Consider the following 20,376-nt stretch of genomic DNA (forward strand, 5'->3'; position numbering starts at 1 on the left):
ACTTGTTCCTGATTTGTTAGTACTATTCTTTTTTTTTTGTTTGTTTGTTTTTTTTTTTTGAGACGGAGTTTCGCTCTTGTTGCCCAGGCTGGAGTGCAATGGCGAAATGTTGGTTCACTGCAACCTCTGCCTCCCAGGTTCAAGTGATTCTCCTGCCTCAGTCTCCTGAGTAGCTGGGATTACAGGCGCCCGCCACCACGCCTGGCTAACTTCTTGTATTTTTAGTAGAGACGGGGTTTCACCATGTTGGCCAGGCTGGTCTCGAACTCCTGACCTTAGGTGATCCGCCCGCCTCGGCCTCCCAAAGTGCTGAGATTACAGGCATGAGCCACCGTACCTGGCCTAAATACCTTATTTCATATACCACGTGAAATTTAAATTATACAAAACAAATTATAGAGGTACTTAGAACAGCATGACTATTTACATTAATCAACTTGCCGGCACTTCAACAGAATACAACATAGAAATGATTGTTTTAATATAAACATAAGCTTTGATTTGACATATACTTGTAGAAATTAATCAAACTTAGCTGAATCTTAAAATTGCTTTTTTACCTTTCCTCTTTTTTTTTTATTTTTTTATTTTTTGAGATGGAGTCTTGCTCTGTTGCCAGACTGGAGTGCAGCGGTTTGGTCTCGGCTCACCGCAACCTCCGACTCTCTGGTTCAAGCGATTCTCCTGCCTCAGCCTCCTGAGTAGCTGGGATTACAGGTGCCTGCCACCACACCTGGCTACTTTTTGTATTTTTAGTTGAGATGGGTTTCACCATGTTGGCCAGGATGGTCTCGAACTCCTGACCTCGGATCTGCCCACCTGTGCCCCCAGCAAGGTGCTGGGATTACAAGCATGAGCCACCGTGCCCAGCCTCCTTTCCTCTTTTTAACTCTTACTTTTATGATTTCTTTAGTGGATAAAAAGCTTTTAAAAAATAGGTTACAATGATATTACAGCTAACAAAAAATAACATTTAAAAACACTAAATAGTATATATATGAAGTATTTATAATTATTTTAATATTGTAATAATATAGTGTGTTGTGATTTGAATTCATCTGCACGGAAATCGATTACTGTCCTTTCTTTCTATTTCCCTATATTTTCTTTCCGAAGGCGTCATCAACATTTTGGTTCTTTAATAGTAACCAAAACCCGAAATCATCTCGGTTCTCAGTATTTGGCTCTATGGGAACACCTTTTCTTTTCTCTCTTTTTTTTTTTTTTTGAGACGGAGTCTTGCTCCTGTCGCCCAGGCTGGAGTGTAATGGCACGATCTCTGCTCACTGCAACCTCAGCCTCCCCAGTAGCTGGGATTACAGGCATGCGCCACCACGCCCGGCTAATTTTGTATCTTTTAGTAGAGACGGCGTTCCTCCATGTTGGTCAGGCTGGTCTCGAACTTCAAACCTCAGGTGATCCGCCCGCCTCGGCCTCCCAAAGTGCTAGGATTACAGGCGTGAGCCACCGCGCTCAGCCTGGGAACACCTTTTCTTACATCTTCAAGTGCTAGAAATGCTTATGAAAACGAAAAAAGAATTATTAAGAGTAATTATAAAGAAACACTCATTTTCTTCCCAAGAGAGCCAAGATTTCTTCTTTCCTCTTCTTTCTTTTTTTTTTCTTTCTAATTTCAAAGGAGTATAATTAAATTGCCAGGTAAAAGCTCAAAGGTCTTTTTTATAGTGTTCTGGAAGGTTCTCTGCCTGTGTTTGTATTTCCTTTAGCCTCCACGTTCCTCTATCCAGTTCCCGCACCCTTCCCCCCAGGCCCCATTCTTCAAGGCTTCAGAGCAGCGCTCCTCCGGTTAAAAGGAAGTCTCAGCACAGAATCTTCAAACCTCCTCGGAGGCCACCAAAGATCCCTAACGCCGCCATGGAGACGAAGCACCTGGGGCGGGGCGGAGCGGGGCGCGCGGGCCCACACCTGTGGAGAGGGCCGCGCCCCAACTGCAGCGCCGGGGCTGGGGGAGGGGAGCCTACTCACTCCCCCAACTCCCGGGCGGTGACTCATCAACGAGCACCAGCGGCCAGAGGTGAGCAGTCCCGGGAAGGGGCCGAGAGGCGGGGCCGCCAGGTCGGGCAGGTGTGCGCTCCGCCCCGCCGCGCGCACAGAGCGCTAGTCCTTCGGCGAGCGAGCACCTTCGACGCGGTCCGGGGACCCCCTCGTCGCTGTCCTCCCGACGCGGACCCGCGTGCCCCAGGCCTCGCGCTGCCCGGCCGGCTCCTCGTGTCCCACTCCCGGCGCACGCCCTCCCGCGAGTCCCGGGCCCCTCCCGCGCCCCTCTTCTCGGCGCGCGCGCAGCATGGCGCCCCCGCAGGTCCTCGCGTTCGGGCTTCTGCTTGCCGCGGCGACGGCGACTTTTGCCGCAGCTCAGGAAGGTGAGGCGCGGATTGGAGCAGAGTTGTGGAGCTGGGCTGGGCTGGGGGGCAGCGGCCCCCGGCCCTCGGCCCCCGAAACGGGCATAATAGGGAGGGGACCAAGAGGCCGCGCTTTCCAGCGTGGAGACCGGACGGTGCGGCCGTGCTCCGGCTCAGGCCCTCCGCGCGGTAGGAAACGGCGAGGGCCGTCCCGGGGAGCAGCCTCACTTCGCAGCTTTGCTCGCCTTGGTAGGGAAATGGCCTTGGGCGGAGGCGGGGGACAGGCAGGGAACGGAGTGGCCACGTCCAGGTTTCCTGCGGCCACCGAACCGGTGCCTCGCGCCCTGGCGCACCCACGTCCTCGGTTCGGGGTGGACTTGGGGTTCCAAAACAGCCCCAGCCGGTGGCGGAGTCTTTACGACAGGGACCAGCGGGCTCGCCCTTGTCCTTGCAGCGGGCCCCGGATGTGGGCCTCAGGCGGGGACAGGCGCCCGCAGGGAGGCCTCCAGGGCCGCTATGCACCTGCGCGCGGCAGGCGGCCCGGACCACACAGGGCGTGTGGGTGTTTTCCCTTTTCTAAGGATCATATGAGTAATGCCAGGCTTATTGTAGGGAACGCAGAAATAATAACCGTAAAGAGTAAAAACATATAATCCCAGCATTTTGAGAATCCCATAATTAGTAATTAGGTGTATCTTTCTTTCTTTTTATTTATTTATTTAATTTTTTGAGACTGAGTCTTGCTCTGTCGCCCAAGCTGGAGTGCAATGGCGCGATCTCGGCTCACTGCAACTTTCGCCTCCCGGGTTCAAGTGATTCTCCTGCCTCAGCCTCCTGAGTAGAGTAGCTGGGATTACAGGCGCGCGCCACCACCCCCCGCTAATTTTTGTATTGTTAGTAGAGACGGGGTTTCTCCATGTTGGTCAGGCTGGTCTCTAACTCCTGAGCTCGTGATCCGCCCGCCTCGGCCTCCCAAAGTGCTGTGATTACAGGCGTGAGCCACCGTGCCCGGCCTATTTTATTTTTTTATTTGAAACAGCCTTGTTCTGTCACCCAGGCTGGAGTGCAATGGCAAGATCTTGACTCATTGTAGACTACGCCTCCCGGCCTCAGACCATCCTTCTGCGTCAGCCTTTATGCCTGGCTAATTTTTGTATTTATTATTTATTATTATTATTATTATTTTTGAGACAGAGTTTCGCTCTTGTTGCCCAGGCTGGAGTACAACGGCGCGATCTCATCTCACTGCAATTCAGGCGATTCTCCTGCCTCAGCCTCCCGAGTAGCTGGGACTACAGGCATGCACCACCACGGTCAGCTAATTTGTATTTTTTGTAGAGAGGGGTTTCGCCATGTTGGCCAGGCTGGTCTCGAACTCCTGACCTCAGGTGATCCACCGACCTTGGCCTCCCAAAGTGCTGGGATTACAGACGTCAGCCACAGTGCCAGCCGAATATTTGTATTTGTAGAGACGACATCTCACTATGTTGCCCAGGCTGGTCTCGAACTCCTGGGCTCAAGTGATCACTCCGTCTGGGCCTCCCAGAGTGCTGGGATTACAGGCGTGCATCACCACACCCGGCCTTAAAAACAAGATTTAAAATGGTGACTGGTATGTTGCACCGTTATTCAAATGTTAGACATGTAGTTTGATTTCAGTTTCTCTTAACTGTGGAATAAACAACTTGGCTGCCGTCTCTCTCTCTCTCTTTTTTTTGGAAACAGTGTCTCCGTCTGTCGTTCAGCCTGGAGTGCAGTGGCACATTTACATGTCACTGCGTCCTCCATTTCCCAGGCTCAAGCGATGCTCTTACTTGGACCTCCCAAAGTGCTGGGATTACAGGCATGAGCCACCGGTCCGGCATCTCTTGGTTTATTTGTAAGATGGTGCCTAGAAGTGGAGTGGCGTTTGCCAAAGGTCTCTGGAAGGGCTTTTACACTTTCACCAATGGAGTGGCCTAAATTCAGTAATTATACTCTCAAAGTAATGCAGTTTTAGTCAACTCATGTTTTTCTGGCTTCAATCTGGGACTACGTACTTAATGTTAAATTGCTTTAAAGTGGTCATAGCTGCTACAGGTTTGTGCTCAGAAAGTCTGCACCTGACTGGTCTGATTTAAATTTTACGCCCCTTAGGTATGAACAGTGTGTTTTAAACAAGTACAGGATGGGGCTGCAGAAGATTTAAACGCTTGAGAACAAGTGCTGTATTTTCCCCTTTTGTGACCCCAGTATTGAGTTTAGTGTTGGGCAGATTAAAGGTGGTTCATATCGACTATAACTTGAACAGGGAAAAATTGAAATCAACTTAGGGTACTTGGGATACGAAGGATCAATATAAAAACTCTGGTTTGTCATGCTAGCTTTTTCTTTTTTTTCCTCTTCAGTTGAACTGAGGAGATAGTTTTTGTTTTTAATGATTGTGCTCTTTTAACTAGACAAAAGGAATTAGATAGTCTTGCCTATTCGAAGTTAAATGAACTTTTGAGGTTGTTAAGGACAAAACTATTAAACTGACATCAATAATACAGAATGGGCTGCTTAGTATCACTTTCCTTATCAGGTACTAGGATTTAATTTAGTTAGGAAACTCACTTAAAGGGAGGACTATAACTGCAGTTGAAAGTGTAATTTTTCCAAGATATAAAATTGTTTAAAGATTGAATATATTCCTGTTAAGCCCCAAAGGAAACATCCCTCATTTAAGAAAATGGGGTGGGAGAGCAAGAGAAGGTGAGGATTCACAGATCCTAGAATTGGAATAGTTGATTTTTTTTTGTAAAAGAGGCGGTGACAGCCGGGCATGGTGGCTCACGTCTGTAATCCCAGCACTTTAGGAGGCCGAGGTGGGTGGGTTACCTGAGGTCAGGAGTCCTAGACCAGCCTGACCAACATGGTGAAAACCCGTCTCTACTAAAAATAGAAAAAAAAAGCCGGGCGCGGTGGCTGACACCTGTAATCCCAGCACTTTGGTAGGCCGAGGCGGACGGATCATGAGGTCAGGAGTTTGAGATCAGCCTGGCCATTATGCTGAAACCCCGTCTCTACTAAAAATACAAAAATTAGCCAGGTGTGGTGGCATACCCCTGTAGTCCCAGCTACTTGGGAGGCTGAGGCAGGAGAATCGCTTGATCCTGGGAGATGGATGTTGCAGTGAGCTGCGATTGTACCACTGCAATCCAGCCTGCACGACAGAGTGAGACTCTGTCTCAAGAAGAAAAACAAAAAAAGGCAGTGACTAACAGGGATGTTACTTAGCAGGACAGGACTGTGGAAGGAGCTAAGACTGGGAGTTTCACAAAGACAAAGCTAGAAATGATACTTGGAGAGCTGTGTTCTTGTTTTAAAAAAATTGTAACAGGAGGCCAGGCACAGTGGCTCATGCCTGTAATCCCAGCACTTTGGGAGGCTGAGGCAGGAGGATTGCTTGAGGCCAGGAGTTCAAAACCAGCCTGGGCAACATGGCGAAACCCCGTATCTACAAAAAGTTAAAAATTAGCCAGGCATGGTGGTGCATGGCTGTAGTCCCAGCTACTTGGGAGGCTGAGACAGGAGGATCACTTGAGCCCTGTAGGTCCATGCTGCAGTAAACCAAGATTGTGCCACTGCATTCCAGCCTGGGCCACAGAGTGAGACCCTATCTTTAAAAAAAAAAAAAAAAAAAAAAAAAAAAAACAGGAATGCATGCAGATTAAACTATGTGTCTGTATACAGTATGCAAACTTTAGCAAGTGCCAGGCACTTAGGCAGTAGTCTATAGCTGAAAAATAAAACATTCAGAACCACTTTTTAAGGTTTTGTGTCCTTGTAACTTTAGGCATTATTATTACAATATAACTTAGCTGGGACATGAGAGTTAATAGATCCACATTTTAAAGTAGATTTTTTTTTTAATTTTCTAGAATGTGTCTGTGAAAACTACAAGCTGGCCGTAAACTGCTTTGTGAATAATAATCGTCAATGCCAGTGTACTTCAGTTGGTGCACAAAATACTGTCATTTGCTCAAAGCGTGAGTAAAATATCCTAATTACCTGTAAGCTTTATTTTGACTTAATACTTCTTTAATTGATGTGCCTTGAGTTGGAAAGAGTTTTATTGGCTTAAATCTGAATCATGTTACAAAGTAAGTGTGGGAACACATAAATTTCAAATAATCTTTGACCCTGGAACTTTAGAGTTAATTTTTTTTTTCCCGTAATCATGAAATCAGTTATTTTTCAGTTTGGCATTAAGGTTTCTTTTTCAGTGGCTGCCAAATGTTTGGTGATGAAGGCAGAAATGAATGGCTCAAAACTTGGGAGAAGAGCAAAACCTGAAGGGGCCCTCCAGAACAATGATGGGCTTTATGATCCTGACTGCGATGAGAGCGGGCTCTTTAAGGCCAAGCAGTGCAACGGCACCTCCATGTGCTGGTGTGTGAACACTGCTGGGGTCAGAAGAACAGACAAGGACACTGAAATAACCTGCTCTGAGCGAGTGAGAACCTAGTGAGTGGGGCTGCCTATACTACTTGTTTTCATGCTGTTCAGATTCATTTAATTAAATTTATTTTTGATTATGTAATATGATTTCATGGTTTAGAATTCAGAAGATATGAGTGTCCAGTGAAAAGCTTCCTTCTCATTCCAGTCCCCCTCGCTACCCATTGGACCTCCACAGAATTGATGTTATTGATTATTCTATAACCTTCCAGAGATAGTTGATGAATTTGTTATATATCTGTTTTATTATTTTTACATAAATGATAGCATACTAGGTATAATTTTTCTTTTATATCTTTACTTAACATTATTCAGTATTTCATTGTTGCATTAGTAGTAAATGTATGTAATTTAACCTATGTATTTGCTTATTGATTGTGTTTTAAAAGTGAGATATGCTTGTTTTAGGGATTGTTTAATGAAAAGGCACAGAAACCCACTCAAGCTAGCTTAAGCAAAAAAAGACTTCATTGGAAGGGACTAGAAACTGGAAAGGATGTCAGGACCAAAGTGGGCACTTTGTTTTTCTGTTCTGGTCTTCTGGAGCCTCGTTGTCAGTTTTCTCTTTGTGCCCTTTCTTTTGTTTTTTCTTTTTTCTTTTCTTTTCTTTTTTTTTCGAGATGGAATTTCCACTCTTGTTGCCCAGGTTGGAGTGCAGTGGCACAATCTCAGCTCACTGCAACCTCTGCCTCCCGGGTTCAAGCAACTCTCCTGCCTTAGCCTCCTGAGTAGCTGGGACTACAGCTATACCACACCTGACTAATTTTTGTATTTTAGTAGAGATGGGGTTTCACCATGTTGGCCAGGCTGGTCTCCAACTCCTGACCTCAGGCAATCCACCCACCTCCACCTCCCAAAGTGTTGGATTACAGTTGTGAGCCACCATGCCCGGGCCTTTCATGCCTTTTCATCTTTTTAGTTGAACAGGGCATGACACTGCCAGCTAAACTTTGACTTAATGTGACTTTATGTATTGTGTCCAGAGAACAGAGGGTCAATATTAGAAAAGGTGTTCCCTCCTGGGTGTGTCCTTTATGAAGGATGTGTAAGGGAAGAAATTATAGGAATAGCTACTGCATAAATTTTTTTTCTCTTAGTCCTTATAATTCGAGAATTTTAGGATTAGCTTATTAGGAAAATAGTATGGAAGACTGAGTTATAGTCAACTGACATTGTCTTTTTACTTTATAGCTGGATCATCATTGAACTAAAACACAAAGCAAGAGAAAAACCTTATGATAGTAAAAGTTTGCGGACGTAAGTGCAATTAAATGCATCATATTCTTGCACAGTTGGTGGCTCAAATCTTCCATCCTACACCATTAGAAAAAGCAAGTCTAAATGCTTTTTTATATTTCTGAAAAATAAAGTTACTTGAAATAGAGTTGCAAGAATAGCACAGAGATTCTGGGAATACACTTCACTCAGATTCACCAATTAACATTTTGGCACATTTGCTTTTTATATGTGTATGTGTGGATGAATATGTGTGTGTGCTTTACATCAGTGTATCTATGCATGTATAAATATTTTTCCCAGAAGCACATGAGAGCAAGTTGTAGACATCAGGCCCCTTTACCCCTAAGTACTTCAGTGTATGTTTTCCTAAGAACAAAAGGCATTCTTTTATATAAACCACTATACAACGATCAAATTTAGGAAAAATTTTTTTTTTTTTTTTTAGACGGAGTCTCGCTCTGTCACCCAGGCTGGCGTGCAGTGGCGTGATCTCAGCTCACTGCAACCTGCGCCTGCCGGTTTCAAGCGATTCTCCTGCCTCAGCCTTCCAAGTAGCTGGGACTACAGGTGCCTGCCACTACGCCCTGCTAATTTTTGTAGTTTTAGTAGAAACAGGGTTTCACCATATTGGCCAGGCTGGTCTCGAACTCCTGAACTTGTGATCCTCCCGCCTCTGCCTCCCAAAGTGCTGCAATTACAGGTGTGAGCTTCCGCGCCCGGCCAGGAAATTTAACGTTATATCACGTTGTGCCCATTTTCCCAATATTGTCCTTTGTAGTAATTTTTCCCCTCTGATTCAGGACCCAGTCCAAGATCCATGTATCACATTTAGTTGTCATGACTCTTTAGTCTCTTAATATCGAACAGTTTCTTGGCCTTTCTTTGTCTTCCATGAACTTGCTATTTTTAAAGAGCATGGGCAAGTCATTATATATAATGTCCCTCAAATTTTGATTTGTCTGATATTTCCTCCTTTTTTTTTTTTTTTTTTGAGTTGGAGTTTTCCCTTTTGTTGCCCAGGCTGGAGTGCAATGGTGCAATCACGGCTCACCGCAACCTCTGCTTCCCGGATTCAAGCGATTCTCCTGCCTCAGCCTCCTGAGTAGCTGGGATTACAGGCGTGCGCCACCATGCCTGGCTAATTTTTTTTGTATTTTTAGTAGACACGGGGTTTCTCCACGTTGGTCAGGCTGGTCTCGAACTCCCAACCTCAGGTGATCTGCCCACCTCAGCATCCCAAAGTGCTGGGATTACAGGCATGAGCCACCTCACCCGAGCCTTGATGTTCCCTCTTAACTAAAAGCAGGTTATGCATTTTTGACAGGAAAACTACTTAAGCGATCTTGTGTCCTTTATAATACTTCACATTAGGAGTTGCATGATGTCAGCTTGTCCCTTTACTAGTAAAGTAAACTTTGGTTAAAGTGGTATCCACCAGGTTTTTCCACTGTGAAGTTACCATTCTCCCTTTGTAATCCATAAATAATCTATGGGCAGATACTTGGATACTAAGTAAATGTTCTTTTTCTAATTAAACTGGTACCCAGCAGTTTGAATATCAATGGATGATTCCAGCCTGAATCAATTATTATTATGATAGTTGCAAAATGGCAGAAAAATTTTAACTTTAATGACAGTTTTAGACCCTGAGCTGTCTGCTTAAAGAGTAGTGCTTCTTACTGTTGTGTGGTACAAACATTTTTTTTTAATACAGATTTTAAATTCTTTACAGTGCACTTCAGAAGGAGATCACAACGCGTTATCAACTGGATCCAAAATTTATCACGAGTATTTTGGTATGATTTTTTAATAAGTGAGCTTTAGCAGACAGTTGGTGAGACAGTATGTTTTGAGTATAAGGACAGCCAGTGATTTAAGTGGTGGTTAAATGCACTTACTGGAGCAACAGTTTCGGATCTGGGTACTTAATGTGAATTTCCTGTTACTGTTTTTTTTTGTTTGTTTGTTTCTTTAAGACAGACTATTGCTCTCTTCCCCAGGCTGGAGTGTCATGGCAAGATCTCGGCTCAATGTAACCTCTGCTTCCAAGGTTCAAGCAATTCTCATGCCTCAGCCTCCCGAGGAGCTGGGACTACAGGCACATGTCACCATGCCCAGCTAATTTTTGTATTTTTAGTGTCGGCGGGGTTTTGCTATGTTGGCCAGGCTGGTCTCGAACTCCTGGCCTCAAGTGATCTGTCTGCCTCAGCCTCTCAAAGTGTTGGGATTACAGGTGTGAGCCACCACGCCCGGCCCATTGTTTTTGGTTATCGTTGTTTTCCTTCCATAGCCTTTGAAAAGCCTAGTTTTACTCCTAAAGAAAACGTAGTATCTCTTAGTATCCCTAAAACATTTGAGTTTTCTTATCCTGGAGAACCTGTCCCTGTGGATGAGCTCCAGTAACATCTTAAAGTAAATATGCACCAAAATTACTTTTGGTAAATACAGTTTTGGTGCATATTTACTTTAGGATGTTACTGGAGCTCCCATCTTCTCTGCTTTAAGGAACTAGTCCTTAACTAGTTAGCCCTTACTTAACTCTTTAAACTCTGGTTTAAAAAATAAAAAGAAGCTTGAATAGTGTGACGGAACTCTTTAAAGGTAGTATGAATTTATTCAAGAGTCTTTAGAAAGAATGTACTTTTTTTACTCTTTAAAAACAAAATGATGGCCGGGCACGGTGGCTCACGCCTGTAATCCCAGCACTTTGGGAGGCCGAGGCAGGTGGATCACAAGATCAGGAGATCGAGACCATCGTGGCTAACACAGTGAAACCCTGTCTCTACTAAAAACATACAAAATAGCCGAATGTGGTGGTGGGCACCTGTAGTCCCAGCTACTCGGGAGGCTTGAGGCAGGAGTATGGCGTGAACCTGAGAGGCGGAGCTTGCAGTCAGCTGAGATTGTGCCACTGCACTCCAGCCTGGGCGACACAGCAAGACTCCGTCTCAAAAACAAAACAAAAAAACAACATGGAAAATGCATGCTGCGTTTTACCTTGCATTTCTTTTTCTTTTCTTTTTTTTTTTTTTTTTTTGAGACGGAGTTTCGCTCTTGTTGCCCAGGCTGGAGTGCAATGGCGCCATCTCGGCTCACCACGACTTTTGCCTCCCAGGTTCAAGCGATTCTCCTGCCTCAGCTTCCCTGGTAGCTGGGATTACAGGCAATGTGTCACCACGCCTGGCTAATTTTGTATTTTTAGTAGAGATGGGGTTTCTCCATGTTGGTCAGGCTGGTCTTGAACTCCGGACCTCAGGTGATCCGCCCACCTCAGCCTCCCAAAGTGCTGGGATTACAGGCATGAGCCACTGCACCCGGCCTTACCTTTCATTTCTTTAGTAATTTAGTTTTAAAGTAGTTCTAATCCAAATAAAATACTTTCATATCTTATTTAAAAATCTTTTCAATATAAGAAAATCCTCTTAGGAAAAATTGTACATTGTAATTATGTTTGGTTGCATGGCTGTCTTATTTCCCTTTGATAGATTTAGAGACCTCCCAAAGATTTCTTGATTAGTGATAAACTTAGTTATCCACTAATGGAAAGGAACAGTGATGCATGTAGATTATAGAAAATCAAACACTGAATATTCTGATTCTCAATTAATGTTATTTTCAAATGATTTTGATTATATTAGTATTAATTTGTATTATTCAATTTTTTTCCCCAGTATGAGAATAATGTTATCACTATTGATCTGGTTCAAAATTCTTCTCAAAAAACTCAGAATGATGTGGACATAGCTGATGTGGCTTATTATTTTGAAAAAGATGTGAGTATCATCTTCTTTATTCCTGTGTTCAGGAATGTAGTCTATCATGCCTCAATGAATTAAATATATTTCATCACCTTTTTATCCACTTACAGATCAACCAAATGGTTCGCTGCTGCCGTTAATTTTGTCCTCCCTGTCACTCACATGCATCTTGCTTGTTTGTATATTTATGCCTCTTATCAAATTGTTCTGCCTAAAATATCTCCCCTCTTTCTTATAATTCTTATTTATTATCTACTTGGTGGTTACTTAGTTTGTGCATATATGCTCCCCTATGATATTTATAATTTACACAAATAAAAGTCTGTTAAAAAAGACTGTAACTGATATGATTAAAATATTTTGTTGAAACTTTAATATATTATAGTGAGGTATTTTCTGCTGAAATATGAGGTTTGCTTCAAAATAATCTGGGCGGGGGTGAAAGGATGAAAGGAAGAAAAGATGAAGTAAGAGAGGCTATGTGTTGTTGGCCTTGCATCTGGGTGATAGGTACATGGGCATCATTGCACTACTCTTTCTACTTTCGTGTATGTTGAAAGGTTCCTGTAATAAACAGTTTTTTAAAGTTCCAATAAATTAGATTGTTATCACTAAAACCATAAAGATTCTTGGCAGCGGTTCTTTTGGCATACAATTTGTATGTAATTATATGTGGCCATGGTTGGTTTCCTTAAATATTTTTAATTCCTTTTCTCCTTTTCAATACAGGTTAAAGGTGAATCCTTGTTTCATTCTAAGAAAATGGACCTGACAGTAAATGGGGAACAACTGGATCTGGATCCTGGTCAAACTTTAATTTATTATGTTGATGAAAAAGCACCTGAATTCTCAATGCAGGGTCTAAAAGCTGGTGTTATTGCTGTTATTGTGGTTGTGGTGATAGCAGTTGTTGCTGGAATTGTTGTGCTGGTGAGTACAGAACAAGTAAAATTTCATTTAAGGGTATATTTTTTCAAGAAAAAGTAATAGTGGCTGGGCGCGGTGGCTCACCACACCTGTTATCCCTACACTTTGGGAGGCTGAGACAGGTGGATCACTTGAGCCCAGGAGTTTGAGACCACACTGGGCAACATGGTGAAACCTTATCTGTAGTAAAAATACAAAAATTAGTCAGATGTGATGGCTTGCACCTGTGGTCCCATCTACTTAGGAGGCTGATGTGGGAGTGGTCAGTTGAGTCCAGGAGGTCAAAGCTGCAGTGAGCCATGATCACACCACTGCACTCCAGCCTGGGCAACACAGCAGGACCCTGTCTCAAAAAGAAGAAAAAAGGAAATATGAAAAAGTAACATCCATATTCCAAAACATTCAGGGAAAAAAATCTTCATTTTTAAATAATTTTTTTATGGTGAATGAATCTATTGTATCTCTGGTCTCTTTTTACAAAAGTCATTTTATGAAGCAAGAAAGGATGCTAATATTAAAAAGCTTGTGGCTGTGCACCTCACAGGCCAGTTAAATTGCCATCTAGCAGCAAGCGTCTTTCAGTTGTCACTGCAAACAATTCAACACCTAGTGCAAAATACCTGAACCCCCAAACCACTCAATAAGATGGAACAACAGAACACAAAGTTAACGTTAGCCATACAAAAGAGTTAAAAGTGATATGTGAATCAATACTTCCAAGTAAAGATGAGCAAATTGAATTTAACAGTGCTTCAGCAAAAGAATGTATTGCTTGAAGAAGTGAAAGGTTTATTTTAGGAATGTAAGGATGCTTCGGTATCAAGAAATCTTACTAACACTGGCCAGGTGTGATGGCTCAGGCCTGTAATCGCAGCACTTTGGAAGGCTGAGGCGGGTAGATCACTTGAGATCAGAAGTTCGAGACCAGCCTGGCCAACATGGTGAAACCCTGTCTCTACTGAACATACAAAAAAATTAGCTGGGCGTGGTGGCACATGCCTGTAATCTATTCGGGAGGCTGAGGCAGGAGAATAGCTTGAACCTGGGAAGCAGAGGTTGTAGTGCGCCAAGATCATGCCACTGCACTCTAATCTGGGTGACAGAGCAAGACTCTGTCTCAAAAAAAAAAAAAAAAAAAAAAAAAAAAAGGCCAGGCACAGTGGCTCATGCCTGTAATCCCAGCACTTTGGGAGGCTGAGGCGGGTGGATCACCCGAGGTCGGGAGTTCGAGACCAGCCTGACCAACGTGGAGAAACCCCATCTCTACTAAAAATACAAAATTATCCGGGCATGGTGTCTCATGCCTGTAATCCCAGCTACTCAGGAGGCTGAGGCAGGAGAATCACTTGAACCCAGGAGGTGGAGGTTGCAGCTGAGATCATGCCATTGCACTCCAGCCTGAGCAACAAGAGTGAAACTCCGTCTCAAAAAAAAAAAAAAAAAAAAGAAATCTTACTAACACAACAGAATTCAGAAAGAGGTTTGAGGGTATTTAGGAACTTAGATTTCCAGTTCAATCAACCATGTTTGGCTATCCATCTGGAACAAAATGAAAGTTGAATTCCTATTTCACTCCACCAGGCTGGCCATATTGCCCAGCTGTGTGAGGGTGGCATGTCCAGAGCACAGTAGTAGGAAAGGCGTTGGGCAGTGTATCCATTTTCAAAGACATTTACATATTTAAAAATACAAAAAAGTAAACTCCCAAGAAAATTAATTGAGGGAATGTTTGTACAACCTTGTGGTAGGGGAAATTATGTAAGGCAAGAAATCTGGAATCCATGAAAGAAAAGATACATATATGTGTATGTATATTTTGAGAGAGGGTCTTGCTGTGTCACCCAGGCTGGAGTGCAGTAGCATGATCATAACTCACTGCAACCTCCAATTCCTGGACTTAAGTAATCCTCCTGACCTATCCTCCCAAGTAGCAAGGACTACAGGTATGTGCCACTATACCTGGCTAATTTTTTAATTTTTAGTAGAGACGAATTCTTGCTATGGCTGCCGAGGCTGGGCTTGAACTCCTAGGCTCAAGCAGTTCTTTTGGCTTAGCCTCCCAAACTGCTGGGATTACAGGCATGAGCCATTGCACCTAGTCCTATATATATATATTTTGGCTTCATTAAAATTAAGCATTTTATATGGCAAAGAAACTGTAAAGTAAAAAATAACGATGGGCATGAAAAAAATATGGCGCATAAAGCAAAAATGGATATTATACATAATATACAAAGAGTTCTTACAAATTGATGAGGAAACCTAAAGAAAGAATGACAACAGGTAGGGATAGACAGTTAATAGAAATTTCAGATGGCAAATGAACACAAGTGGTTAATGCTGGAAGTCTAATTGTTCTGTAGAAATAAATGAAAACACAAGTGCAATAAGGAAGCACATTGTTATTGTATCATAGCATTGCTTGTAAAGGTGAATCTGGCCAGGCGTGGTGGCTTACGCCTATAATCCCAGCACTTTGGGAGGCTGAGGTGGGCAGATCACCTGAGGCTGGGAGTCCGAGACCAGCCTGACCAACACGGAGAAACCCCGTCTCTACTAAAAATACAAAATGAGCCAGGCATGGTGGTGCATGCCTGTCATTCTGGCTACTCAGGAGGCTGAGGCAGGAGAGTCACTTGAACCCAGGAGGCAGAGGTTGTAGTGAGCCGAGATCATGTCATTGCACTCCAGCCTGGGCAACGAGAGCAAAACTCTGTCTCAAAAAATGAATAAAAACAACAACAAAAGTGAATCTGGAAAATAGCCTGAGTGTGTATCAGTAAGAGAGTAAATTATGTTTATTGTATCTACGATAGGGAATAATGTGAATGGTGAATGAGTTCGATCTTTATCTTTGGATCTGGAATGGTTGCTATGATGTTGATACAAGCTGTGCACAGGTGGTGATGATACTGCATGGTCCCATTTTTAGACCCCAAAACTTAGATGCATGTGTTTATATATGATATTTGTATTAGTGTGGAAAAGGAGGATGTGGAAGAATGCACACCAAACTGTTAAATTTCTTTCTTTTTTTTTTTTGGAATGGAGTCTCGCTGGCCGGACGTGGTGGCTCACTGCTGTAATCCCAGCACTTTGGGAGGCCAAGGCAGCTGGGTCACGAGGTCAGGAGATCGAGGCCATCCTGGCTAACACGGTGAAACCCTGTCTCTACTAAAAATACAAAAAATTAGCCAGGTGTGGTGGCGGGCACCTGTAATCCCAGCTACTTGGGAGGCTGAGGCAGGAGAATGGCGTGAACCTGGGAGGCGGAGCTTGCAGTGAGCCGAGATTGCACCACTGCACTCCAGCCTGGGTGACAGAGCGAGACTCCATCTGAAAAAAAAAAAAAAAAGAAAAGGAGTCTCTCTGTGTTGCCCTGGCTGGAGTGCAGTGTCATGATCTCGGCTCACTGCAGCCTCCACCTGCCGGGTTCAATTGATTCTCCTGCCTCACCCTCCCGAGTAGCCGGGACTACATGCAGAAGCCACCATGTCCAGCTAATTTTTGTATTTTTTGGTAGAGACAGGGTTTCACCATATTGGCCAGGCTGGTCTCGAACTCATCACCTCGTGATCCGCCTGCCTCGGCCTCTCAAAGTGCTAGGATTACAGGCATGAGCCACTGTGCCCGGCTTCTTCTTTTTTTTTTTTTTTTTTTTTTTTTTTTTTTTTTTTTTTTTTTTTGAGATGGAGTCTTGCTCTGTTGCCCAGGCTGGAGTGCAGTGGCACGATCTCGGCTCACTGCAACCTCCATCTCCCAGGTTCAAGCCATTTTCTTGCCTCAGCTTCCCAAGTAGCTGGGACTACAGGCGTGCACCACCATACCTGGCTAATTTTTTTGTATTTCTAGTAGAGATAGGGTTTCACCATGTTGGCCAGGCTGATCTCGAAATCCTGATGTCAGGTGATCTGCTCACTTCGGCCTCCCAAAGTGCTGTGATTATAGGCGTGAACCACCATGCCTGGCCTAAACTGTTAAATTTCTTTAAAGATTATTCATTGTTTCCTTTTTTTCTTTCTCTTTCTTTTCTGTTGTCCCATTGGATCCAGCATTGTTTTTGATTTTGATTTTTGTTTGTTTGTTTCACTTGTCGTGGTAGACTTTTTTTTGTTTAGTAGTGAAAGTTTTTATTTTATTTTATTTATTTATGGAGACAGAGTCTCCTTCTGTTGCCCAGGCTGGAGTGCAATGGTGCATGATCTTGGCTCACTGCAACCTCTGCCCCCCAGGTTCAAGCTATTCTCCTGCCTCAGCCTCCCGAGTAGATGGGATTACAGGCGCCTGCCACCACGCCTGGCTAATTTTTGTATCTTTAGTAGAGATGAGGTTTCACAATATTGGCCAGGCTGGTCTTGAACTCCTGACCTAAAGTGATCCACCCACCTCAGCCTCTGAAAGTGGTAAGATTACAGGCATGAGCCATCATGCCTGACCTATTTTATTTTATTTTAATTTTTTTTTAGAGATGGAGTCCCACTCTGTCGCCCAGGCTGGAGTGCAATGGCGCCATCTCGGCTCACTGCAACCTCTGCCTCTCGGGTTCAAGTGATTTTCCTGCTTCAGTCTCCCAAGTAGCTGGGATTACAGGCGACCACCACCGCGCCTGGCTAATTTTTTTGTTTTTTTAGTAGAGTCGGGGGGTTTCATCATGTTGGCCAGGCTGGTCTTGACCTCCTGACCTCAAGTGATCCGCCCACCTCGGCCCCACAAAGTACCGGTGAGCCACCACGCCCAGCCCACCTTATTTATTTTTAAGAGACAGGGTCTTACTCTGTAGCCCAGGCTGGAGAGCAGTGATGCCATCTCCACTCACTGCAACCTCTGCCTCCTGGGTTCAAGCAATTCTGGTGCCTTAGCCTCCTGAGTAGCTGGGACTACAGGTGCGTGCCATGACACCTGGCTAATTTTTGTATTTGTAGTAGAGATGGGGTTTCACCGTGTTGGCTGGGCTGGTCTGAAACTCCTGACCTCAGATGATCTTCCCGCTTCGGCCTCCCAAAGTGCCGGGATTACAGGCATGAGCCACTCCACTGGTGTGAAATTTTTAATTTAAGAAGCAATAAATGTTTATGGATAGATGTTAAAATTAGTTTTTTTTCAGATCAAAATTATGTCCATTAAAAGCATATATGTCTGTTTAGATAATCTTTTTTTGAATAGCAGTCCTAAAACAATAGTTGTCTTTCTTCCACTCAGGTTATTTCCAGAAAGAAGAGAATGGCAAAGTATGAGAAGGCTGAGGTAAATGGATTACTTACCTAAATAGAAAGGCCCTGTTGAATCTCTTACTCCTAATCACTCTACCTTCCTACACACTGATGCATTTCAGTTATACTGGAGTCCCTTTATACTGTTGTCTTTAGGGTCTTAGGGACAGTCTTAGAATGTACTCTTACCTAAATATTCTTGCGTGAGTTCCATGGCAGATCACCATCTGTTTTCTGCCTCATAGAAGAGTGGAATGGGAAGCCTATGGTTTTTATTCTACAAAGAGTCAACATCTAACAGAATCTTCTGAAGGCATACTCCAGTGGATTCACCTTGGAGAAACTCATTGTGACTGATGATCTGATTTATTATCTCTATGCCAGTGAAATAATCATTTAATATGAACTTAATTTGTCATAATCTATTGTGTACTAACTAGTCTATACTAGTGTGACATCAAAGTGTCAGATTGTTAGTGTGTTTCAGTCCCTTGGAATTGAATATGAACACTTATCCTTGAACCCTATCAATAACATTTTTCACATATCTCAATTTTTGTGTGTCTTTGTAGTTGTATGTGGGCCACTTACTAATATTTTAGCAAGTAATAAAAATAGAAACGTAAAGGAATATTGGAAAAAGTCTAATGGAACCAGAAAGTTCTAGCATTTTTTTCCCATTCTGTAGTAGGTCATCTGGTTTATTTGGTTTGGTGACCGCAAGTCTAGAAGACTAACCCTGAATTGAATGGTAACAGACAGGCAGAATGACAATGTAGTGTTGCAGTGCAGAGCAGTACAGACCTGGGTTTGGCTGGGCAAAATTATATAACTTCTTTAAGCCTCCATGTTTCCTCATCTGTAAAATGAGGATAATAGATAGTATGGACCTGTTGCAAGGATTAAACATAATCAGTGTAAAGTGTTGGTCCCATGCTTGCCACATAAGAAAATATTTGTCAACAGAGTGGTAGTTGTCATTATCATTGTCTCAGTTTGCCTGTAACTAGTTGTGTGATCTGAGACAAACACTAATTTTGAACTTGAGTTTCCCCACATGTAAAATGAAAGATTGATAATAGAAAGTAAATCAATTTTTTCTAGCATTAAAAATAGTATGCATTTAATAAAAATCTTATTCTTAATGATCTAGCTTACCTCCAACTTGCCCTAGTCACTTTGGCGATCTTGTCTCTAAATAGAACCTTGAAAACACTTAAATGTGTGTTTCCTTGCAATATAACTTTTTCTTTTTTTATTTAAATAAGTCTTATAAATGTGGGAAAAAATTATCTTGTGTTCCTTTAATTTCATTTTTATTTAATACTATTTTCAGAATGAACAAAAGATTGAAAAATTATTTAGAATTTTTTTCTGTGCTTTTTCCTGTTTCAGATAAAGGAGATGGGTGAGATGCATAGGGAACTCAATGCATAACTATATAATTTGAAGATTATAGAAGAAGGGAAATAGCAAATGGACACAAATTACAAATGTGTGTGCGTGGGACGAAGACATCTTTGAAGGTCATGAGTTTGTTAGTTTAACATCATATATTTGTAATAGTGAAACCTGTACTCAAAATATAAGCAGCTTGAAACTGGCTTTACCAATCTTGAAATTTGACCACAAGTGTCTTATATATGCAGATCTAATGTAAAATCCAGAACTTGGACTCCATCGTTAAAATTATTTATGTGTAACATTCAAATGTGTGCATTAAATATGCTTCCACAGTAAAATCTGAAAAACTGATTTGTGATTGAAAGCTGCCTTTCTATTTACTTGAGTCTTGTACATACATACTTTTTTATGAGCTATGAAATAAAACATTTTAAACTGAATTTCTTAACTTTGACATTTCAAATTTCTTCTTCTTTTTCTTTTCTTTTTTTTTTTTTTTTGAGATGGAGTCCCACTCTGTTGCCAGGCTGGAGTGCAGTGGCACAATCTCGGCTCACTGCAACTTCTGCCTCCTAGGTTCAAGCGATTCTTCTGCCTCAGCCTCCCGAGTAGCTGACTACAGGCGCCCACCACCATTCCTGGCTAATTTTTGTATTTTTAGTAGAGACAAAGTTTCACCATATTGGCCACGCTAGTCTCGAACTCCTGACCTCACGATCCACCCACCTCTACCTCCCATAGTGCTGGGGTTACAGGCGTGAGCCACCGCGCCCGGCCTCTTTTTTTCTTTTTGTTTTGTTTTTTCTTTTTTTTTTTGAGACAGGATCTTGCTCTGTGGCCTAGGCTGGAGTGTAGTGGTGCGATCTCAGCTCACTGCAGGATTCAAGCGATTCTCCTGCCTCAGCCTACCAAGTAGCTAGGATTACAGGCTCCCACTACCATGCCCGGCTAATTTTTGTATTTTTAGTAGAGAAAAGGTTTCTTTTTCTTTTTTCT

General features: G+C 43.0%; 1 protein-coding gene and 1 non-coding gene across 2 annotated transcripts, besides 2 other annotated features; both read left to right on the plus strand.

Moving 5' to 3' along the window:
- Window positions 1,744-2,420: an enhancer, noted in NCBI's record as "H3K27ac-H3K4me1 hESC enhancer chr2:47596083-47596759 (GRCh37/hg19 assembly coordinates)". NCBI's record gives its function as "activates a minimal SCP1, AML or CMV promoter by ChIP-STARR-seq in primed H9 embryonic stem cells {active_cell/tissue: H9 hESC(primed)}" and the evidence as "EXISTENCE:reporter gene assay evidence [ECO:0000049][PMID:30033119]".
- Window positions 2,111-19,820, plus strand: EPCAM (epithelial cell adhesion molecule). Its single transcript, NM_002354.3, has 9 exons — window positions 2,111-2,381; window positions 6,263-6,370; window positions 6,608-6,848; window positions 8,034-8,099; window positions 9,814-9,877; window positions 11,753-11,854; window positions 12,569-12,769; window positions 17,966-18,010; window positions 19,372-19,820. Exons 1-9 carry the CDS (start codon window positions 2,306-2,308, stop codon window positions 19,411-19,413), a joined length of 945 nt encoding a protein of 314 aa, NP_002345.2. The 5' UTR covers window positions 2,111-2,305; the 3' UTR covers window positions 19,414-19,820.
- Window positions 2,421-3,096: an enhancer, noted in NCBI's record as "H3K27ac-H3K4me1 hESC enhancer chr2:47596760-47597435 (GRCh37/hg19 assembly coordinates)". NCBI's record gives its function as "activates a minimal SCP1, AML or CMV promoter by ChIP-STARR-seq in naive and primed H9 embryonic stem cells {active_cell/tissue: H9 hESC(naive and primed)}" and the evidence as "EXISTENCE:reporter gene assay evidence [ECO:0000049][PMID:30033119]".
- MIR559 (microRNA 559) lies at window positions 10,475-10,570 on the plus strand. The gene has a single exon (NR_030286.1). It is a non-coding gene; the product is annotated as a microRNA 559 (primary transcript).

This window comes from Homo sapiens, chromosome 2 (genome assembly GCF_000001405.40).
Source record: "Homo sapiens chromosome 2, GRCh38.p14 Primary Assembly".
Classification (NCBI taxonomy): domain Eukaryota; kingdom Metazoa; phylum Chordata; class Mammalia; order Primates; family Hominidae; genus Homo; species Homo sapiens.